The sequence below is a fragment of the Homo sapiens genome, chromosome 12 (assembly GCF_000001405.40).
Source record: "Homo sapiens chromosome 12, GRCh38.p14 Primary Assembly".
NCBI classification, from domain to species: domain Eukaryota; kingdom Metazoa; phylum Chordata; class Mammalia; order Primates; family Hominidae; genus Homo; species Homo sapiens.
In genome coordinates, this window is record NC_000012.12 from 21,011,933 (window position 1) to 21,033,451 (window position 21,519).

At 34.2% G+C, this 21,519-nt stretch overlaps 2 protein-coding genes across 2 annotated transcripts in view; both read left to right on the top strand.

The window, feature by feature from the left end:
- The window catches only part of SLCO1B3-SLCO1B7 (SLCO1B3-SLCO1B7 readthrough), a 275,549-nt gene that overhangs the window by 196,259 nt on the left and 57,771 nt on the right, over positions 1 to 21,519 (top strand). The window lies entirely within an intron of this gene.
- LOC124902894 (putative solute carrier organic anion transporter family member 1B7) overlaps positions 1 to 21,519 on the top strand; it is a 150,851-nt gene that overhangs the window by 110,528 nt on the left and 18,804 nt on the right. The window contains exons 2-6 of the mRNA XM_047429949.1: positions 3,707 to 3,848; positions 7,316 to 7,448; positions 9,529 to 9,650; positions 10,918 to 11,064; positions 11,257 to 11,355. Coding sequence (XP_047285905.1) covers positions 3,764 to 3,848; positions 7,316 to 7,448; positions 9,529 to 9,650; positions 10,918 to 11,064; positions 11,257 to 11,355 — 586 coding nt within the window. The 5' untranslated portion in view covers positions 3,707 to 3,763. The remainder of the gene's footprint in view (positions 1 to 3,706; positions 3,849 to 7,315; positions 7,449 to 9,528; positions 9,651 to 10,917; positions 11,065 to 11,256; positions 11,356 to 21,519) is intronic.

Genomic DNA, 21,519 nt, shown 5'->3' on the forward strand with positions numbered 1-21,519 from the left:
CTTGATGGACTTCTAGGTCCTATATATTTGCTATTGTGAATATAGCTGCAATGAACATACAAATACATACATCATTTGAGTAGAATAATTCATATTTCTCTGGGTATATATCCAATCATGGGATTGCTGAGTCAAATGCTAGTTCTGTTTTAAGTTGTTTGAGAAATCTCTAAACCGTATTCCACAGTGGAAGAACTAATTTACATACTCACCAGCAGTGTATAAGTGTTCCCTTTTCTCGACAACGTAGCGAGCATCCATTTTATCATCGCATGGGTTAGGAAGGAGTCCCTGCTCCTCAATTTTTTGGAATAATTTTAGTAGGATTGGTACCTGCTCTTTTTTATACATTCAATAGAAGTTGACTGTGAATCTCTCTGGTCCAGTTTTTATTTTAGATTGCAGGATTTTTATTAATAATTTAATATTTGCCATGTTATTGGTCTATTTAGGATTTCTCCTGGTTCAATGTTGGGAGGTTGTGTATTTCCAGGAATCCATCCTTTTTTTTTTTTTTTTTTTTTGATTTTCTAGTTTGTGTGAAAAGAGGTGCTCATAATAGTCTCTGAGGCTTTTTTGTTCTTCTCTGGGGTTGGTGTCATTTGTCATTTCCTATTGTGTTTATTTGGATCTTCCCTCTTAGCTTTTTTTATTAATCTAGCTAGTTGCCTATCAGTCTTATTTAATATTTCAGGGCCAGGCGTGGTGGCTCATACCTGTAATCCCAGTACTTTGGGAGGCCGAGGCAGGTGGATCATGAGGTCAGAAGTTCGAGACCAGCCTGCCCAATAAGGTGAAACCCCGTCTCTACTAAAAATACAAAAACTAGACGGGCGTGGTGGCACATGCCTATAATCCCAGCTACTCAGGAGGCTGAGGCAGGAGAATTGCTTGAACCCAGGAGGTGGAGGTTCAGGAGCTGAGATCGTGCCATTGCACTCCAGCCTGGGCAACACAGCGAGACCCCATCTCAAAAAAAAAAAAAAAAGGATTTCAATTTATTTCTGGTTTAATGTTGGGAGGTTGTATATTTCCAGGAATCCATCTGTTTTGTTTTTTTTTTTTTTTTTTTGGTTTTCTAGTTTGTATGAAAAGAGGTGCCCATAATAGTCTCTGAAATGATTATGATTGAACAATTTTCATTACTATTCTCTGACACAAAGACTGTATGTACTTCTGTATGTACAAGCTGTCAGAATTGACTCCTCTCAGATGAGAAGATAGGTTATTCATGGTCTTGTAGGTCATTGGAAAGGCTTGATATTGCTATAAGGCACATGGGAAGACACTGAGTGGTAGCATGATCTATTTATTTTTAAATTATTTTGAAAGGATTTCTTTAGCTACTGTTTTGAGAAGATGCCATTGGGCAGACTTGTGCAGAACTAGAAAGATGTATCAAGAGGCTATTGCAGTAATTGAGGCAAGACGTGGTGGTGCAAACCACTGGGAATATGGAAGGTGATAAGAAAGGGTCTCTTAATTTAGAAAGGTGGAATAGCAAAGATTGGTAACTAAAGAACAGAACTTTATTTCTCACATTTCTGAAGGCTGGGAAGTCTGAGATCAGGGTGCCAGCATAACTGAATTCTGATGAGGGCCTCTTTCTGGTTTGCAGATGGCTGTCTTCTCACTGTGTCCTCATATGGCATAGAGAGAGGGCGAGAATCTCTCATTTCTCTTATTATTAGGGTGTTCTACTCTTGTGACCAAGTACCCCTAAAATGCTCCATCTCCAATTATCACCACACTGGAAATTTGGGTTTCAGCATAAAAATTTGGGGGGAACACAAACCTGAAGTTCAGAAGTGGGTAATAGTTTAATAGTAGGGCTAAAGGAATAGGGTAAGGATGTAGATGTGAGCTTTAAGAGAAAGGATGAATCAATACATTTTGTTAAAATAAAATTGGAAATGAAAACATCTATAACCACTACATCTCACATTGATACAGTCACTTCTGTTGGTCATAAAATTCCTCTTTGCCTCCACAAAGTTCAATATTTTAGCTGGCTCCTGGAAATGCTACCTTTGCGAATGTACCACCACCCCCCTCCCAGTTAGCCTATGCTATTCACATGGAAATAAAAAATAGCTCACCATTGTGGCCATCTGAGAACAGTGTCTAGCTTCCTATAAATCAGTTAATGATATTAATTTAAAAATAACAACCCTGATTATACTCCTCTAACAATCGAATATTGTCACCAAGTTAGAAAATCATGCTTTACTAGTGTAATGATAATACTGTTATAGGATATTAGACATTTGTCAGATGGGTAGATTGCAAAAATGTACAAGAAAAAATAACCCATCAGAAAGTGAGCAAAGAATATGAAAGACACTTCTCAAAAGAAAACATTTATATGGCCAAGAAACATGATAAAAAGCTCAACATCACTGATCATTAGAGAAATGCATATCAAAACCACAATGAGATACCATTTCATGCCAGTCAGAATGGCGATTATTAAAAAGTCAAGAAACAAAAGATGTGAGGCTGTGGGGAAATAGGAACGCTTTTACACTGTTGATAGGAAAGTAAATTACTTCAATCATTGTGGGAGACAGTATGACAATTCCTCAAGGATCTAGAATCAGAAATACCATTTGACCCAGCAATCCCATTACTGAGTATATACCCAAAGTATTATAAATCATTCTACTCTAAAGACACATGCACAAGTATGTTTATTACAACACTATTTACAATGGGAAAGTCATGGAACCGACCCAAATGCCCATCAATGTTAGACTGGATAAAGAAAATGTGGTACATATACATCATGGAATACTACAGAGCCATAAAAAGGAATGAGATCATGTCCTTTGCAGGGACATGAATGAAGCTGGAAGCCATCATCCTCAGCAAACTAACACAGGAACAGAAAACCAAACACCGCATATTCTCACTCGTAAGTGGGAGGTGAGCAGTGAGAACACATAGACACAGTGAGGGGAACAACACATACCAGGGCCTATTGGGAGTTGGGGGGCGAGGGGAGAGAACTGAGAGGATGGGTCAATAGGTGCAGCAAACCACCATGGAACACATATACCTATGTAACAAACCTGCATTTTCTGCACATGTATCCTGGAACTTAAAGTAAAATAAAAAATAAATAATAAAAATAAAAACAAGAAAAGAAAATGTGGCATATATACACCTTGGAATACTACTCAGCCATAAAAAGGAATGACATAATGTCTTTTGCAGCAACTTGGATGGAACTGGAGACCATTATTCTAAATGAAGTAACTCAGGAATGGGAAACCAAATATTGTATGTTCTCAGTTATAAGAGGGAGCTAAGCAATGAGGATGCAAAGGCATAACAGTAGTATAATGGACTCTGGGGACTCGGGGGAATGGTTGGGAGGGGAATGAGGGTGACACTACATATGGGGTACAGTGTACACTCCTTGGGTGACAAGTGTACTAAAATCTCAGAAATCACCACTAAAGAACCTCTCCATGTAACCAAAACCACCTGTACCCCCAAAACTCATGAACTAAAAAAAATCACTAAAAAAAAAGTTATAGGGCTGACAAGTTCCAACTTGTACAGGAAAAAAGATGAGTATGCTTTTTAAGATAAAAATAATGTTTGTAAGTAAAGAAAAAAACTATTTTAATTCCACGTACCTATAAACATTATATAGTTCTTTAATTAATCAATTTTCTCTTTTCTTTCTGCTGTTTTTCAGATCTTCTTGACACTCCTGTCATTCAGCTATGTTGCTAAAGCACTAGCTGGAATTTTTATGAAAATATCAACCACTCAAATAGAAAGGAGATTTGAGATATCCTCTTCTCTTGTTGGTTTAATTGATGGAAGCTTCGAAATAGGTAGCTTTTTATTTTCTATTTTAATAACCATACTTGCATATGTTAAAAAAAAACTGTTTTTAACACTTGGCTCTCAGCCAGGTGTAAATTTGTCCCTCATGAGCAATTTGGCAATATCTGAAGGCATTTTTAGTTGCCATAAATAAGCTGAGGAAGGGAGGATGCTACTGGTACCCAGGGGTAGAGGCCAGGGATGCTGTTAAACATTGTGCAATGCACTGGACAGACTTACCAACAAAGAACAATCCTTCCCAAAATGTCTATAGTGATGATGTTGAAAAACTCTAATCCTACACAAACTCATTGTTTGCAAATTAATGCCTTGTGAAGCTTTACCTCCCTTGCCTCAAGGTGCCCCTGTGTGAAGAAAGGCTGAGGGAGGACTATAATTCTTATGGTTTTAGGAGGGAGGGACTGTATAGGAGCAACCTACACTAGATTCTAGTGTTTAACGGGGTACACAATTGAGGGGTTAAAGTCTTTTTGGGGGAACGTTGAAGATATTGCTTTGTTGCCTTCATTTTAATTTGTATTTCTGCAACAATAGTGAAGTTTTAAATAATAATTGAAATTTTTTTCTTATGTATTGCTAGCTCACAGTCTCTGCTAAATTTACCTCTTCTTTTCACTTTCTAATTATTTAGAGGGACCTCCCAATTGTCTGTTACATAAACTGCAAATATTTTATACGATTTTTGTTTCTAATGTAACTGTATTTACAATATGCTTAACTAAATAATATTTTAAAAGTAATTGTCAAAGGAAGACATCTCTTTAAATCAGTTCAAAATATTTGTGATTCAAAGATATTACACTTTACATGTCCTTCACTCTTTCACCTCTCAGGCTCAATGAAATCATCAAGGATTTTAGAATTAGAATGTTATTAGTTTTAAAGTTTAATTCACTGAATGTCTCCTTTTGTTAATAAATTGATCCTTCATATTTTTGTTAAACTTTGCACCTGTTTAACAGCACTTATTTGAACATCATTATCAGTTTTGTTTCTTTGCTTACCTCTGTTTCTTGAATCTTGTGACTTCAAATCTCATCTTTAGTCTTTCTGGAATATAGCTTCATGTGTAGATGACCTTCTCTATACACAGTTCCCACATCCATGGATTCAGCCAACCGTGGATGCAAGATATATTCAAAAAATATAAAAATTAAAAAGTAGCAATACAATTGTAAAAATAATACAAATAAAAGCAACACAGAATAACAACTATTTACATAGTATTTACATTATATTAAGTATTAGACGTTATCTAGATTTGATATAAAGTATACAAGAGGGTATGGATAGGGGATAGGTTATATGCAGTATTACACCTTTTTACTTAAGGAACTTGAACATCCACAAATCTTGGTATCTACAGAGCATCCTAGAAGCAATACCCCATGGACACTAAGGGATGACTGTAATTATTTTTTTAGGAAGAATTTAAAATGTGGCATATTATCTTGGAAAATGTGCTTATTTGACTACCATATTTAAGTGATAAATTGTCTGGATATGGAATTAAACATTCAAAATCTCTTTTTCTTAAAACGTTTAAATTATTTATCTACTGTTTTATAACATTCAGTGTTGTATATAAGAAATTAATGCCATTGTAATTTTTATGCACTGATATGAATCTCTTATCTCTAAATCTCTGAAAATATACCAGCATATATCTGAGACTGTCTCTGTCTGTATTAATTCTGCTGGACAAAAGCAGAAACTTTCATCTTAAGTCTTCCTCTAACACAGGGAATTTCTTCTCTTTTTCTTTTTTCTTTCTTTTTTTTTTTTGAGACAGAGTCTCGCTCTGTCGCCCAGGCTGGAGTGCAGTGGCGCGATCTCGGCTGACTGCAAGCTCGCCTTCCTGGTTCATGCCATTCTCCTGCCTCAGCCTCCCGAGTAGCTGGGACTACAGGCGCCCGTCACCACGCACGGCTAATTTTATTGTTGTTGTTGTATTTTTAGTAGAGACGGGGTTTCACCGTGGTCTCGACCTCCTGACCTCGTGATCCACCCGCCTTGGCCTCCCAATGTTTTCTTTCTTTTCTTTTTTTTGCGGGGGGAGGAGGGGAAACAGTTTTTCGCTCTTGCTACCCAGGCTGCAGTGCAATGGCGTGATCTCAGCTCACTACAACCTCCGCCTCCCGGGTTCAAGAGATTCTCCTGCCTCAGTCTCCCAAGTAGCTGGAATTACAGGCATGTGCCAGCATGCCTGGTTAATTTTGTATTTTTAGTAGAGACGGGGTTTCACCATGTTGTCCAGGATGCTCTCGAACTCCTGACCTCAGATTATCCACCCGCCTTGGCCTCCCAAAGTGCTGGGATTATAGGCGTTAGCCATCTCACCAGACCAGCGAGTTTATTTTCTGTTTTCTATTTGTTTTTTTCTATTTTATTCTGTAACATATATGATATAAATAATATATTTTCTGGGTATTTTTGCTTTTAAATTTTTTTCTTCTAAATTTCTACCTATTTTCCCTATGTTTCATCAATCTTCTCTGATGCCATCTTATTATATCAAGTTCTAATTTGTAAATTTTTAATAATATTTTAAATTTATAACAATACTTTATCATTCTTTTGTTACTTTTAGTCTGCCATTCTGATTTTATGGATGCTACATGCCCTTGTACCTCTAAATATGCTAACAGAATTTTTAAAAAAATGTTTTTACTGTTTTTAGTTTAATCTTGTTTAAGTACTTATGCTTATGTTGCTTTATCTGCTGGTCTGTTTTGATGCTCTTCTTTCATGCTACTATTTTCAATCAATGTTCAATAATTATTGATTGTTGTCTGTTAATTGTTATATATCAGGCTACAGATAAATCTGAATTGGTCTGCTCTGATTGCTCTTCTTCCACGTTTTAATCTAAATAATTTATACTCAACATTAAATCTCAAATGACGTCTCCTCCAGGAGATTTTCACAAAGCCCCTAATTTAAGCTATTTCCGTAACCTAATAGTACCTCTATTTATCTGTTTTATTTTATTACTAATGTGTTTCTAGAGAACAGGTACCATGGTTTATTCTTTTTTTATATTTCTGACTCTGAGCACCATGGTAGGTATATAGTATAAATTTAAAGAATGCTGGAAATAAATTTTAATAATGCCTGAATGATGATAAAAAGATTTCTCAGATTAGGAAGACATTTTTCCATCCCAACGCAATGCAGTAATCTCCAAACTTTCAAGAACATTTTGCTTCTCTCATATTGCCAAATTACCTAAGTGTTTTGTTTGCATATAAAACCTATTCTACTTATCATTAGTACTATACCAATTTCAATTAGTGGTTTAATGCAGGAGAGCTCATCTTCACAATTAAATTACATTGTCTTTGAGGGAAGGTATGATGTCTTGGGCTTTATTTGCAGTCATTCTGGGGCATTCAGTTCTATCAGATACAAAATTGAACTAAGTCATGTCAACATAATTTTGTTCTCTTTCTAGGAAATTTGTTTGTGATTGTATTTGTAAGTTACTTTGGATCTAAACTACACAGACCGAAGTTAATTGGAATTGGTTGTTTTCTTATGGGAACTGGAAGTATTTTGATGGCTTTACCACATTTCTTCATGGGATAGTAAGTGTTAAACAGCACTGAGCCATTCATTATCAGCAACTTGTAAATTAGCAGTAGAATTTTATTTTTATCCTTTAAATAGTTATCTTTTGAGAATATTCACCAAGTATGTCTAGAAATGGAGTATATTTCTTTTATATGATAGTATATTGCTTTATTCATCATGGCTTTCATAGACTTTGAAATAAGAATAATATTACATAAGGTGTAAAGTTTCAAATGAAATAAATAAGCTATTTATTACATGAAGTATAACACGTGTACTTCATGTCTTTGCCTGTAAGATTTTAATAATAGTAAGACTTCACAGCTTCATCCACTGCATATAAGTTTGCCCAACAGCATTACACCAAAGTTGTTCTTTCTAAGGTAACTGCATAGTTATGATTAGAGGAAGGTGTTCATAAGAGAAAACTGGAAATAGCTAAAACTTAAATAAGACAGAGCTTATTTTTTACATAAAAGTTAATGTAGTTAGTCCAAGGATGATATGGTTCTATTCTTTTCATCATAGTGCTATGCCTTGCATGGCCTTGGCCTCGTGGTACAAATTGTGGCAATGTATTTTCTGGCAGCAGGATAGAAGAAGGGAAGAAGAACAAGGAGAAGAACCAAAAATGCACACAGACTGAGGCTTAAGGAGCATTTTCAGAAGCAAAATGTTTCCACTGGCTTCACATTTACCAGAAATTGGTTACATTTTACACATAGATATATAGATACTGGGGGGGAAAGGCTTTATTCCAGGACGCGGTTACCAGCTAAAAACCCCAACTTCTTTTACTATGGAAGGAGAGAAAAAAGGATACCGAGAGACAATGAGCAGTCCCTGTTAGAGATGCCAATTACTTACTCATTGCCATATCCAGCAATCATGCCTTTTGGTCATCATATTAATTCTGTTCTTTTCCTACATTTGACCCTTATAAGAACTTTCTTCTTAATGGTACTGCTCTAATACTCATCATAGTCCATATCTTGATTCATTTTTCTACCTTTGTGGCCTCTTCATCATGCCCGTCCTTTTTCTCTACTTCTGACACCATAATTTCAGTGTCCCATAATTCCTTCTAATCTTCTTACTATCTTATTCTTCATGATTTTTAAGGAGAACATGCTTAGATGCAACCACCACAGCTTCATCTTGCATTGCTCCCCACATTTGAGGACCACATTCCAGGCTTACAGTTCTCTAAATGTGCCAGAGTATGTCATCTCTTTGCACCTGTTGTTTCTACAGCCTTGAATACTTTTCTTCCTTTGTCTACCAGTTAAACTTCTATCCATCTTCAATATTCATTTTATCTGTCACTCACATTGCGAAGTCTTCTTTGATCTACCCACCACCTCCAAGCAAAGCTGATCATCTCTTCTGTGTGTGTATGTGACAACTTGGGACCTTGCATATTAAACTTATTGTGTCTTTGATCATATGCTTTTATCTCAGAGAGTGTGAAATCTCTAAAGTACAAAAATTGAGCTTTACTTCTAGCTCATTGAAGCTGAACATATCTGGCACACTATGAGCTGCCCTCAGAGCTCACAGAGCTCCTTAGTACTTTTGGATATCAGCATCTGTCTCTAATTCAGCACCATCTCTTTGGTCCTTATTAAGTTCTTCCTCATAAAGTTAAAATAGGTTAGAAATTTTTAATTGAGTTTTGAAGAGTCAAGCATTAGTGTGTGTGTGTTCATGAAAGAAAATCAGACAGACTTACTATCTTTGGCGATAACTCAAAGGGATAAATAGATACAGTTAACAGACTAAAAAAAAAACAGGTGAAACAGGATATTTTACATCTTGACCAGAATATAAGCACTCCTAGGATTATAGAAAAGTGATAACCCACTTTATCCATGGTGTGTTGAATTATCTGTCTTAGTAGATGCTCCCATTCCCGCCCCACCCCCACCCCCTCTTATCACCTCCTCTTCTGACATACATCCTGGGAAATTGACAAAGAGAAGTCCGGTAATTCAAAGACAGTGTCAATAAAGGGGAAAATTTTTCTGCATTTTTGGGAAAGGTGAAAATATTCAGCAGATAAGCAAAATGTTCAATCCAGTGTTACTCTTATAGTTACAGGTATTCTAAAGAAACCAATATTGATCCATCAGAAAATTCAACATCAAACTTACCAAACTGTTTAATTAATCAAATGTTATCACTCAATAGAACACCGTCTGAGATAATAGAAAGAGGTAAGAATTAATACTGACAGTTAAAAAGTATAAAATTTGTATATCTAATTACATCTATAAAATGTGATTTTTTAGCAAAATTCATTTAAGAACAGATAGGAAAAATATTTAACCGTTACATACAGACAAAATCATACTGTTAATATACACAGTTGACCCATGAACAACGTAGATTGTAGTTGCATCTGTTCACTTATATATGGCTTTTGTCCAACCAAACAGAAGGAGAAACCCACCCATATGGAGATCTTACTTCTATAGGTAGTTTCCACGGGGGCAACCAGAGGAATTAAGTATGCATGAATTTGGGTACACATGAGTTGTCCTGGAACAAACATCCTACTATATATGTCAAGGGATGACTGTAATATATATGAAGGATATATTTAGGTAGATGAGAAAAGAGAAAAAATTTAATCGGTAACTGGCAAAAAACGTACACATTTAAAATTTAAAAAGCAGGAAGTGGCAGAAATATGTGAATAGTGTAACTTTGCTCTTCATAAAAAATGCAAAATATTATAGCATTTGAAGATTTTGTGCCTATTATAACACAAATAATAAATTATAATTATAACCCAAAAGTTTAATGAAAAGAAATGGAAAGGAGGAAATATAAGATTTCACATTTTATATACTTCTGGAAGTGTGTAAATTTGTAACTTTTTCTGGAGATTAATTTTTAATATATATTAAAGAACAAAAATATACTTGCCTACTTTAGTGATAAATCTTAAGAAAATAATCAGGAATGTGCACAAGGACTTATTTACAATTATAGCCATGACATCTGTGTTTAACAGAATAAAAAATGGAAATATTTTGTAACTAAAAAAGAAGAGATTGTTTAAACAAATGAGGGAATTGTTACTCAACCCACTACTGTACAGTCATTAACATTTTCACATAGAAGAAATCTTAACAACATGGGGAAATTGTGATAATATAGCGATAACTATGTATGCAGCTTAAAAATAACCTAGATATTTAATTATATATTGTACATAATGAATATTATGCATATTTTGTGCACCAAAAATGTAGAAGATCTAGAGTAACATTTGCAATGATCTTCGGTGTGTAGTGTGATTATAGATATTTTTTACTTGTTTTCTTTGTGCCCTTCCTTATTTTCAAACTTTGCAAAGTGAATATGAATCACTTGTAATTAGAAAAAAATAGAATAGCAAAGGGCTTAAAGTAGTTAAATTTCTAATAAGAATGTTAAAAATAATGTTTAAAATAAAACACTCTCTTGTCTCGATAGGTTGTGTGAAGGAATCTGGGTCACACATGTGGATCTATGTCTTCATGGGTAATATGCTTCGTGGCATAGGGGAAACCCCCATAGTACCATTGGGGATTTCTTACATTGATGATTTTGCAAAAGAAGGACATTCTTCCTTGTATTTAGGTAATAAACAGAAAATATTAAATTGCATGGTTAATCCTTAGGTCTACCTTTGGAATAATAGTATCATTAACTGTATTCTTTATTAGAATAAATATTTGGAGAAATGTATTGTGTAATATTACTTTTAAAAACATGTTGAATAAAAACCAAGTATTTGCGGTATCTGATTAAATTGTTTTGTAATACCGACAGGTACTGTGAATGTAATGGGAATGACTGGTCTAGTTTTTGCCTTTATGCTGGGATCTCTGTTTGCTAAAATGTATGTGGATATCGGATATGTGGATCTGAGTAAGTACAATCGGAACGAGGTACCATGATAGTGCTTTTTAAGTGCAGGACACCATTCTTCCAAATAATTAAATTTACTTTTTCAATAGTACTTTGCTTACTACTTTCCAAAAGTTACAGGTAGGAAATAAATGCGTTAATAATCAGAATAAAAATGAAATTCAGCTCCTTTTTATACTTTGCTTATAAAACTACATGTAAATGGAGATTTTTAACAAACTTATTTTAGATTACTTAAAATGTCCCTCTCTGAAAACTGACTGCCAAGTCCAGTACATTTTATTTTTCAGTTGATGATGACTTGGTTGATGTGTAGAACTCAGAGTTTGCTTTGCTAACATCTCCTTGTGGCTGCTTTATTGGCTTATGGCGTGGGTGGTTTAAGAGACAACAGAATGCACTTTGGTTATGATCATTTTTCCTGGCTTTCACTGATGGCTTGGCCTACGGCAACATTTAATGAGTGCTTGTAGAACAAATGAATGAAGGAGAGGACACGTAAATAAAATTTATGACTTTTGTCTTCACTCTCGGAGCATGCTTTATTTCTCCTCTCATAGAAGAATGAGAGCCCATGTTGTAATATCTGCCTTGACTTCATGCCCTCCTTCCTACAGATGTACCTGTACTATATCAATATTTATCTTGTTTTACCCATACTTATGAAAAAGTATCTATCTTTAGCTAATATTAATCAATCCAACTGGGGTTTAGATTTCATCTTTCTGCCTCTTGTTCATCTGCATCCCCTCTTTTTCTCAGCAAACACTCTCAAGTCTCTCCCATCTATTTACATATATACATTTTTTATATCCCCAAATGACTTCCCAGTTGATTAACTGTTTCCTCAATTCATCTTCAAAGCCAAGTACCTAGAAAAAAATCATCTAAGTGCCTCATCGTCTCATCTCCCATGTACTTCTCATCTACTATAACCTGCTTCTTACACTAATGAAACACAAAAAAATTCTATGTAATTTACTAATTGTAATGGATATTTTTCTATAATTTGTTTAAATATGTACTTCTACTATTTATTCATTTTTTTCTTAGATTTTTTAAAATAACTACCTAAAATTCAACCTGTCAAATGCTGGTCTTATCATCTTATTTCCAAACCCACTTTGTTCCCTATATTCCTTCTCTTGCTGAGTATCTGTACCTTAATTCAATGATTGACTGAATTTCTGTACCCTGTAATCTCACACTCCCCTTTATTTAAAATTGGAAAAACTTTTCTCTCTTTTATTTTCATAGTTCTTAAAGTCTCTTTCAACATGTGGCTTTCCTCAGATAACCCTTACTTAATCATTTTCCACTGGTCTCAAATTCGGTGCCCCTATTAATGACCAAGAGCATGTCTTTATTGTAGCCCTTCTCACAACAATCTGTAAATATGTGTGTACTTACCCACCATCTCTTTGAGAACATGACAGAATGTTGTCTGTCTTAACAAATAATAACTGATTAGTGTTTGTGAATAAACGAATATGATTTTCTATCTCACCAGGACTTAAATAGATCACTCCAATGAGACCAAAGGATTCATTCTGAGAGGAATAGACATCACAGTAGGCCAACAAATTTGAAAGTGCCTTCTAATATAAAACGAAAGCAAACACTTGATGATGATTTATATCTTCCGTTTTAGAAATGTGACTTACTGTAGCTACACATTATATATTATATTTAGTCATTTGATTCCAGTTTCATAATTGCTTTTATCACTGAGTACAAAATAAGTGGTGAAGGGCTTTAGATCTTTAGGGTAATAGTTTTGCAGTCTCTCTACTCTATTCAGAAATAATTACAGCATTTTAGAATTCATGGTTATTCAATTTCTACTCCTGGCCATTCAAATATTATCACATCTTCTCTACTCAGTGAGAAGCATGAAGTGCACTTATTATAAAGTATACTTTGGCAAACTTCAACTCCTACACAAGCCAAAGAGATAACACAAATAAGTAAAGAATGTCAAAGACCGGAAATTAGGGTTTGATGGTTAGAATGGGAAGGGTTGTTGTTGGTAAACTGCTATCGCCACACACCCAAAAGCTCAGGCGCCGCCCAGCTCTGGCCTGTACTTTTCAAGCAGAATTTTGGACCCAGCATTGAAAAGACCTCCTGCTTGGTTTTCTAGAACATCCAGAAACTAACATTTTTTTTTTTTGGTAGAATTTTCCACCTTTTAACACGGTATGTTACCCAACGGAAACACTGTCAGACAATATCTAGCTAGGTTATATTCTTTAGTTCCTATACAAAGACCAGTGAAAGAACCAAAAAAGTCCTCAAAATTACATTTCTGGCAGGTGATAAATAAATACTTAGCATGTATATGGAGTTACTGATTTAACCAATCATTTCCTGAATTCAGTCTGTGTTGTTGATTATAAAACAATATGATTATAAAACAATATGATCACATAAATCAATTTTAGAGACAGATTCATTATGGAAAATAATTTATTTCTAGATAGTTTTAAATCAAGACAATATTTTCTTATGTCAATATTTTCTTATGTCAATGAGTTTCCTTATAGATCAGAGTAATGGCATCATTTAATTGTGCTCTGAAGTTTTATGGTGTGTGTTTTTCCGTGTGTGTGTTTTCTCAATTCTTATTACTTTATTATTTTATTGTGGTAAGAACAGCTAAATTAAAATCTACCTTCTTAACAGATTTTTAAAAGTAGAGTTGACCTTTGAACAGCACAGGTTTGAACTGTGCAGATCCACTTATACATAGATCTTTCAATAAATGTATTGGAAATATTTTTTGAGATTTGTGACAATATGAAGAAACCTGCAGATAAACTACACAGCTTAGAAATTAGAAAATGTTAAGATACAGATATATCATGAATAAATAAAATATATATAGATGCTAAACTATTTTATAATTTGCTATAATAAAATATGCACAAATCTATTATTAAAAGTTAAAATTTGTCCAACTTTATACAGAAAAACTCTTATAGGTTTTACATGATGCCATTTGCAGTCAAGAGAAATGCAACCAAATATAACGATACAGTATTAAGTCATAACTGAATAAAATTAACTGTAGTGCATATTTTACTGCTGTAAAAATTATGTAACCATCTCCTGTTGTTATTGCAGTTAGCTCAAGTGTTGAGAGTATTTACTTAAAATGTCACATGTCGTTGATCATCTCCATGTGAGTGGTTTTCATCACTCTCCAGTAAGTGATGAATCACTTTAAAAAGTGAACTCCTGTGGTTCCTGTGTATTTTTCATTTTGTTTAGTACAATACCATCAACCTTAAATAACACTGTGTGAGCCATATGAAGTGCTGGAAGTGCTCCCAGAAGCACAGAAAAGTCATGACATTACAAGAAAAAGTCAAGTTGTTTAATATGTACTGTAGTTTGAGCTCTGCAGCCGGCCACTGTTTCAATATAAATGTATCCAGTAGAAGGACCATTGTAAACAGACACACACACACACACACAGAGAGAGAGAGAGAGAGAGAGAGACAGGGAGAGAGAGAAAGAGAAATGGAGCAACATGAAGCCTCACTGCAGCTACACCAGTGGGCACAAAACCTGTGCTTTTAGTGAAATAGTTTTTATCTAATATTGAAAATGCAGCTTTTATGTAGGTGCAACACTGCTATTAAATTAAAGACAAGGAATCATCCCAAATGCAGATCAAGGATAGACTGGATAAAGAAAATGTGCTATATATACACCATGGAATACTATGCAGCCATAAAAAGGAAAGAGATCATGTCCTTTGCAGGGATGTGGATGAAGCTAGAAGCCATTATCCTCAACAAACTAACAGGAAGAGAAAACCAAACACTACATGTTCTCACTCATAAGTGGGTACCGAAAAATGAGAATATGTGGACACAGGGAGGGGAACAACACATACTGAGGCCTGTCAGGGAGTGGGCACAGCAGGAGGGAGAGCATCAGGAAAAATAGCTGATGCATGTTGGGAGTAATACCTAGGTGATGGGTTGATAGGTGCAGCAAACCACCCTGGCACACGTTTACCTATGTAACAAATCTGCACACCCTGCCCATGTATCCTGGAACTTAAATTAAATAAAAAATTTTTAAAAAGCGTACCTGTAAGACTCAAACATGATTTGAGAAAAAGTGAAGTCATTATATGACAACTTAAAGCAAAAGGAAAATGAAGGATTTAAAGCTGGAGAATTTAATGTCACTAAAGGATAATTTGAAAATTTTAGAAAGAGATTTGCCTCAGAAAAGTGTCAAGATAACTGGAGAAGCAGCTTCTGCTAATCAGGAGGCAACAGAAATAGTGTTCTAGATAGCATTAAGAAAATCACTGAGAAGAAAGGACATCTACCCGAACAGGTTTTTAATTAGATGAAAGTTCCCTATTCTGGAAAAAAATGCCACAAAGTACACTTATTAATAAGGAAGACATGTGAGCACCAGGATTTAAGGCAGGAAGGGATAGGCTAACTCTGATGTTCTACGCAAATGCAGTGGGGTTTAGGATCAGAACTGTTCTTACCTATACAACTGCTAATCCCTAAGCCTTAAAGGGGAAAGATAAAAAACACTTTTTAGTGTTTTGGTTGTACAACAAGAAGGACTGAACAATAAGAACAATTTTTTACTAAAAAGTTCTGACAGTTTCCATTGATAGTTTGTTCCCCAAGACAAGGAATATGGCGGCAGAAAGGGTTTGCTTTTTTAAAGTTCTTTTGGTAATAGACAATGCTCTTGGTCATCCAGAACTCCATGAATTGAATACTGAAGGTGCTGAAGTGGTCTGCTTTATCCCAAACACAATGTCTCTAATTCAGCCTATAGATCTGAGGTTATAAGGACATTTAAGGCTCATTGCATGTTACGCTATAGAAAGGATTGTCATTAAAGTATAATAATAATAAAATAAAATAAAAAAATAAAGTTTGTTTTATGTAAACCACAAAAAAAAAGGATTGTCAATACTGTAGAAGAGAACCCCTATAGAGAGAACATTATAAAAGTCTGAAAGGATTACACCGTTGAAGTTGCCATCATCTTTATAGAAAAAGCCACAAAAAGCCGTCAAGCAGGAAACAAATTTCTACTGGAGAAAACTGTCCTGATGTAGTGCATAACTTCATAGGATTCACAACATGGTCATTCAAGGAAATTACAAAGAGATTGTGGATATGGCAAACAAAGATGTGAAGAATTTCAAAATATGGATCTTGGAGACATTCAAGAGCTAATTGGCACCACATCAGAGGAGTCGGCAGAAGACAACTTGATGAAGATAAGTGCTGAACCAGTCTCAGATGATGAGGAAAAAACATAGAAGAATCAGTGTCAGAAACAAATTGACATTAGACAATCTGGCAGAAGTGTTCTGATTATTCAAGACTGTTTTGGTATATTTTACAACGTGGAACCTTCTGTAATGTGGGCACTGAAACAAAAGCAAACAGTGGAAGAAGGATTGGTATCATATAGAAACATTTTTAGAGAAATGATTAAACATCAAAGTCAAATAGCAATTTTGATGTATTTCTGTAAAGGTGCACTGTGTGTACCTGCCTTTCCTGTCTTCCTTTTTACCCCATCCACTGCCTCCACCTCTACTACCCTACAGAAAGCAAGAACAATGCCTTCCCTCCCTCCTCCACCTACTCAATGTGAAGAGATGAGGATGAAAAACTTTATGAGACCCACTTCTATTTAATGAATAGTAAATATATTTCCTCGTGATTTTCTAAACATCATTTTCTCTAGCTTACTTTATAGTAAGAATACAGTCTATAATACATATAACATGGAAAATATATGTTGACCGTTTATGCTATTGGTAAGGTTTCTGGTCAACAGTAGGCTATCAGTAGTTATGTTTTGGGGGAACCAAAAGTTATACACAGATTGTCAACTGTGTGAGGGGTCAGCCACCCTAAATCTCATGTTATTCAAAGGTCAACTGTACAATACAGTATTATTAACTATAGGCACAATGTTGTACAGCAGATCTCTAGAACTTATTCATTTTGTATAACTGAAACTTTATACCCATTGACTAGCAACTCCCTATTTCCCCTGTTACCCAACCACTGTAAATCACCATTCTACTTTCTGCTTTCATGAGTTTGACTCTTTTATATGCCTCACATAAATATAATCAGTCAGTATTTATTCTTCTGTAATGGGCTTATTTCACTTAGCATAATGTCAGCAAAGTTCATACATGTTATCACATGTTGCAGAATTTCTTTTCTTTTTAAGACTGAATAGTATTCCATTGTTCATATTTATCATATTTTCTTAATTCGTCTTTCAGTAGTCATTAGGTTGTTTTCACATCAAGGCTATCGTGAAGAGAGTTGCAATGAACATGCAAGTGCAAATATCTCTGAGATCCTGATTTTGATTCTTTTGAATTAATTCTACACCCAGAAGTGAGGTTGCTGCATCATGTGGTAGTTCTATATTTAATTTTTTCAGGAATCTTCATACTGTTTTTTATACTAGGTGCATCATTTTGCATTCTACTAACAGTTTGTAAGTGTTCAGATATTTCCACATCCATGCCAACATTTTTCTTATTCTTTTTTTTGATAACACCTATCCTAACGGGTGTATGGGGATATTTAATTGTGTTTTTGATTTTCATTACCATGATAATAAGTGATGTTGAACATCTTTTCATATACCTGTTGTTATTTCTGTGTCTTCTTGGGAGAAATTTCTATTCAGGTCTTTAGCCTATTCTTAAAGCAGATTATTTTAATTTTTTTGCTATGGAGTTATAAGCATGTCTTGTATCTTTTAGAAATTAACCCCTTATCACATAAATGCTTTACAAATAAATTTTCATGTATTCTGTATGCCTTTTCACTCTATTGATTGTTTCTTTTGCTGGGCAGAAGCTTTTTAGTTTGATGGAGTTCCATTAGTTTAATTTTGCCTCTGTTGCCTGTGCTTTTGGTGTTATATCCATGAAATTATTGTCATGACCAATTTAATGAAGCACTTTCCCTAGATTTTATTCTAGGAGTTTTAAAGTTTCTGGTTTTAAATTTTGGTCTTCAAAACAGTCTGAGTTAATTTTTTTGTTATATGTAAGATAATACTATAAATTCATGTAAATATCCAATTTTCTCAACACCATTTGTTGGAGAAACAATCATTTCACCATTGTAGCCCCTTGACAAAGATCAGATGACTGTATATATTTATGTGAGCTCTCTCTTCTATTCTACTGGTTTCTATATCCAGCTTTGTGCCAGTACCATAGTGTATTAATTACTTTAGCTTTGGAAAATATTTATAATCAGGAAGTGTGAGCTATCAGCTTTCTTCCTTCTCAAGGTTGCTTGGCTATTTGATGTCATTTTTTGGTTTATATGAACTTTAGGATTATTTTTTATATTTTTGTAAAAGTGTCATTGGGATTTTGATAGGTATTGCATTGAATCTGTAGATGTATTTAGGTAGTATGGACATTTAACATTATTAGATTCATTAATCCATGGACACAGGATATATCTTTCTAACTGTTTGTGGCTTTTTCGATTTGTTTCATCAGTGTTTTGAAGTATTCAGTGTACAAGTCTTTCACCTGCTTAAATTTATCATGTTTTATTTCTTTTTATTTAATTGTGAATGGGATTGTTTTCCCAATTGCCTTTTCAGATAGTTATTTGTTAGTGAATAGAAAGGCAAACATTTCTTATGAATTTTTTATCCTGCAACTTTCCAGAACTTGTTCATTTAATTTAACAGATGTGTATGTGTGTGTGCGTGTGTGTGTGTGTGTGTGTGTGTGTGTGTGAAGTCTAGGGTTTTCTATGTATAAGGTCATATCATCTGCAAATGGAGATAATTTTACTTCTTCCTTTCTAGTTTGATGCATTTTATTATTTTTTTTTCTTGACTAATAGCTCTGGCATACAATTCCAGGGCTATATTGAATATAATTGGTGAGAATAGTCATCCTTTCCCTTTTCCTAAAAGCTTTCCTTTTTTCACTCTTGAATTTGATGTTCGCTATGGGTTTCTCATGTATGGCCATGATTATGTTGAGCAAATTTCCCTTTATTTGTAGCTTGTTGGAAGTTTTTGTCATGAGAGTGTTGAATTTTATCAAGTGCTTTTTTGAATTTTACTGATATGATTGTGTAATTTTGTCTTTTATTTTGTTAATGTGTTTTATTACACTGATTGATTTTTGTATGTTGAACTTTGCATTTCAGGTATAAATCCCACTTGGTTATGGCATAATATCCTTTTAATGTGCTCTTAAATTATGTTTGGTAGTATTTTGTTGAGGATTCGTTGCATCTGTATTCATCAGGGATATTGGCTTGTAGGTTTCTTTTGATGATTTTGTCTGGCTTTGATATCAGGGTAATGCTGGTCTCATAAAATGAGTTTGAAGCTGTTCCTTCCTCTTCAATTTTTGGCAAGAGGTTGAGAAGGATTGTCATTAATTTTTTCTTTAAAAGTTTTCTAACACCAGTAAAGCCATCTGATCCTCAGCTCTTTGTTGTTTAGAGGTTGTTGATTAGTGATTTCATCTTTTTACTGTTAGTAGGTCTATTCAGACTTTCTTCATGAATTAGTCACGGTGGATTTTTTTTTTGTATCTAGGAATTTATTCATTCCTTCCCAGTTATTTAATTTTTTATGTATAATTGTGCATAGTAATCTCTTATGATTACTTTATTTCTGTGGTGTTAGTTATAATTTCTCTGCTTTCTTTTCTTACTTTAGTTGAAACTTCTCTCTTAGTCTAGATTAAAGTTCATCAATTTTGTTCACTTTTCGAAAAACATCTCAACTCTTAGTTGTGTTGATTTTTTTCTATTCTTTACTTTGTTTTCTAACCTTTTCTTTCTGCTAACTTTGGGCTCAATTTGGTTTGCTTTTTATATTTTCTTGAAGTGTAAAGTTGTGTTTATTTGACATCATTCTTTTCTTACTGCTATAATTATGTAAAATTTATTGGTGTTTATTGACAATAAACAATTTCTCAGATGCTTCTAGTGACCAGAAATTCGAGAAGTTAACCTCTGATTATAGTCTACAGGAATAAAACTCACCCTATTAACGTAGGATTTATCATTATAAACTTCCCTCTTACTGCTACTCTTGTTGCATCTCATGTTTTCTAATGCTCTGTTTTCAGTCTCGTTTGTCTCAAAATATTTTCTAAATACACTTTTGGTTGATTTGAACAATCAATTTTTCAAAGATGTGTTGTTTAATATGCACATTCATGTGAACTTTCCAGTTTTGCTTCTGCTATTGATTTCTAGTTTTATTCCATTGTGGTTGCAAAAGATAATTAGTATGATTTTAATCTGAAATTTGTTAATACTTGTTGTGTGTTGTAACATGTGATCTATCTTAAAAATTGTTCCATTTCTGTTTGAGAAGAATATATATTCTACTGTTAATGAATAAAGTGCTCACTGACAATTGGGTCCAGTTGATCTGTAATGTTCTCCATTTCCTCATTGATATTCTCTCTGGTTGTTCTATTATAACTAAAAGTGGACATATTAAGGTCCTCTACTATTACAATCAGCCTATTATGGAGGGCCACTGCATGTCACCATTTTATATAAGGGACGTGAGCGTCTTTGTGTTTTGGTATCCATGGAAGGTACTGGAACCAATCCCTCGCAGGTACCAAGAGATGACTGTATTTTATTCCTCTATATTTTTTCCTTCAGTTCTGTCTATGTTTGCTTCATATATTTATATTCTCTGAGGTTGAGTCTATAATATATCCATAATTGTATCTTGTTGGTGAATGAACTTTTAAAAATCATTTTATAATGTCATTTTTTTGTCTCTTGAGACAGTTTTGATGTAAAGTTTATTTTGTCTAATATATGTATACCTACCCTTGTTTTATTTTGGTTACCATTTGTATTGAATACCTTTTTCCAACTCTTCATTTTCAGCCTATGTGTGTTATTAGATCTAAAGTGAGTCTCTTATAGACAGCAGGTAGTTTTATCCAATCAGCAACTCTGTATCTTTTGTTTGGAGATTTAATCCATTTATATTTAGGGTAGTTATTGACAAAGAAGGATTAACTTTGCTATTTTTAAGCTGTTTTTCTATGTCTTGCAGTGATTTTCCCCTCTTTTCCTGTGGTGCTGTCTTTCTTTATGGTTTGTTGATTTT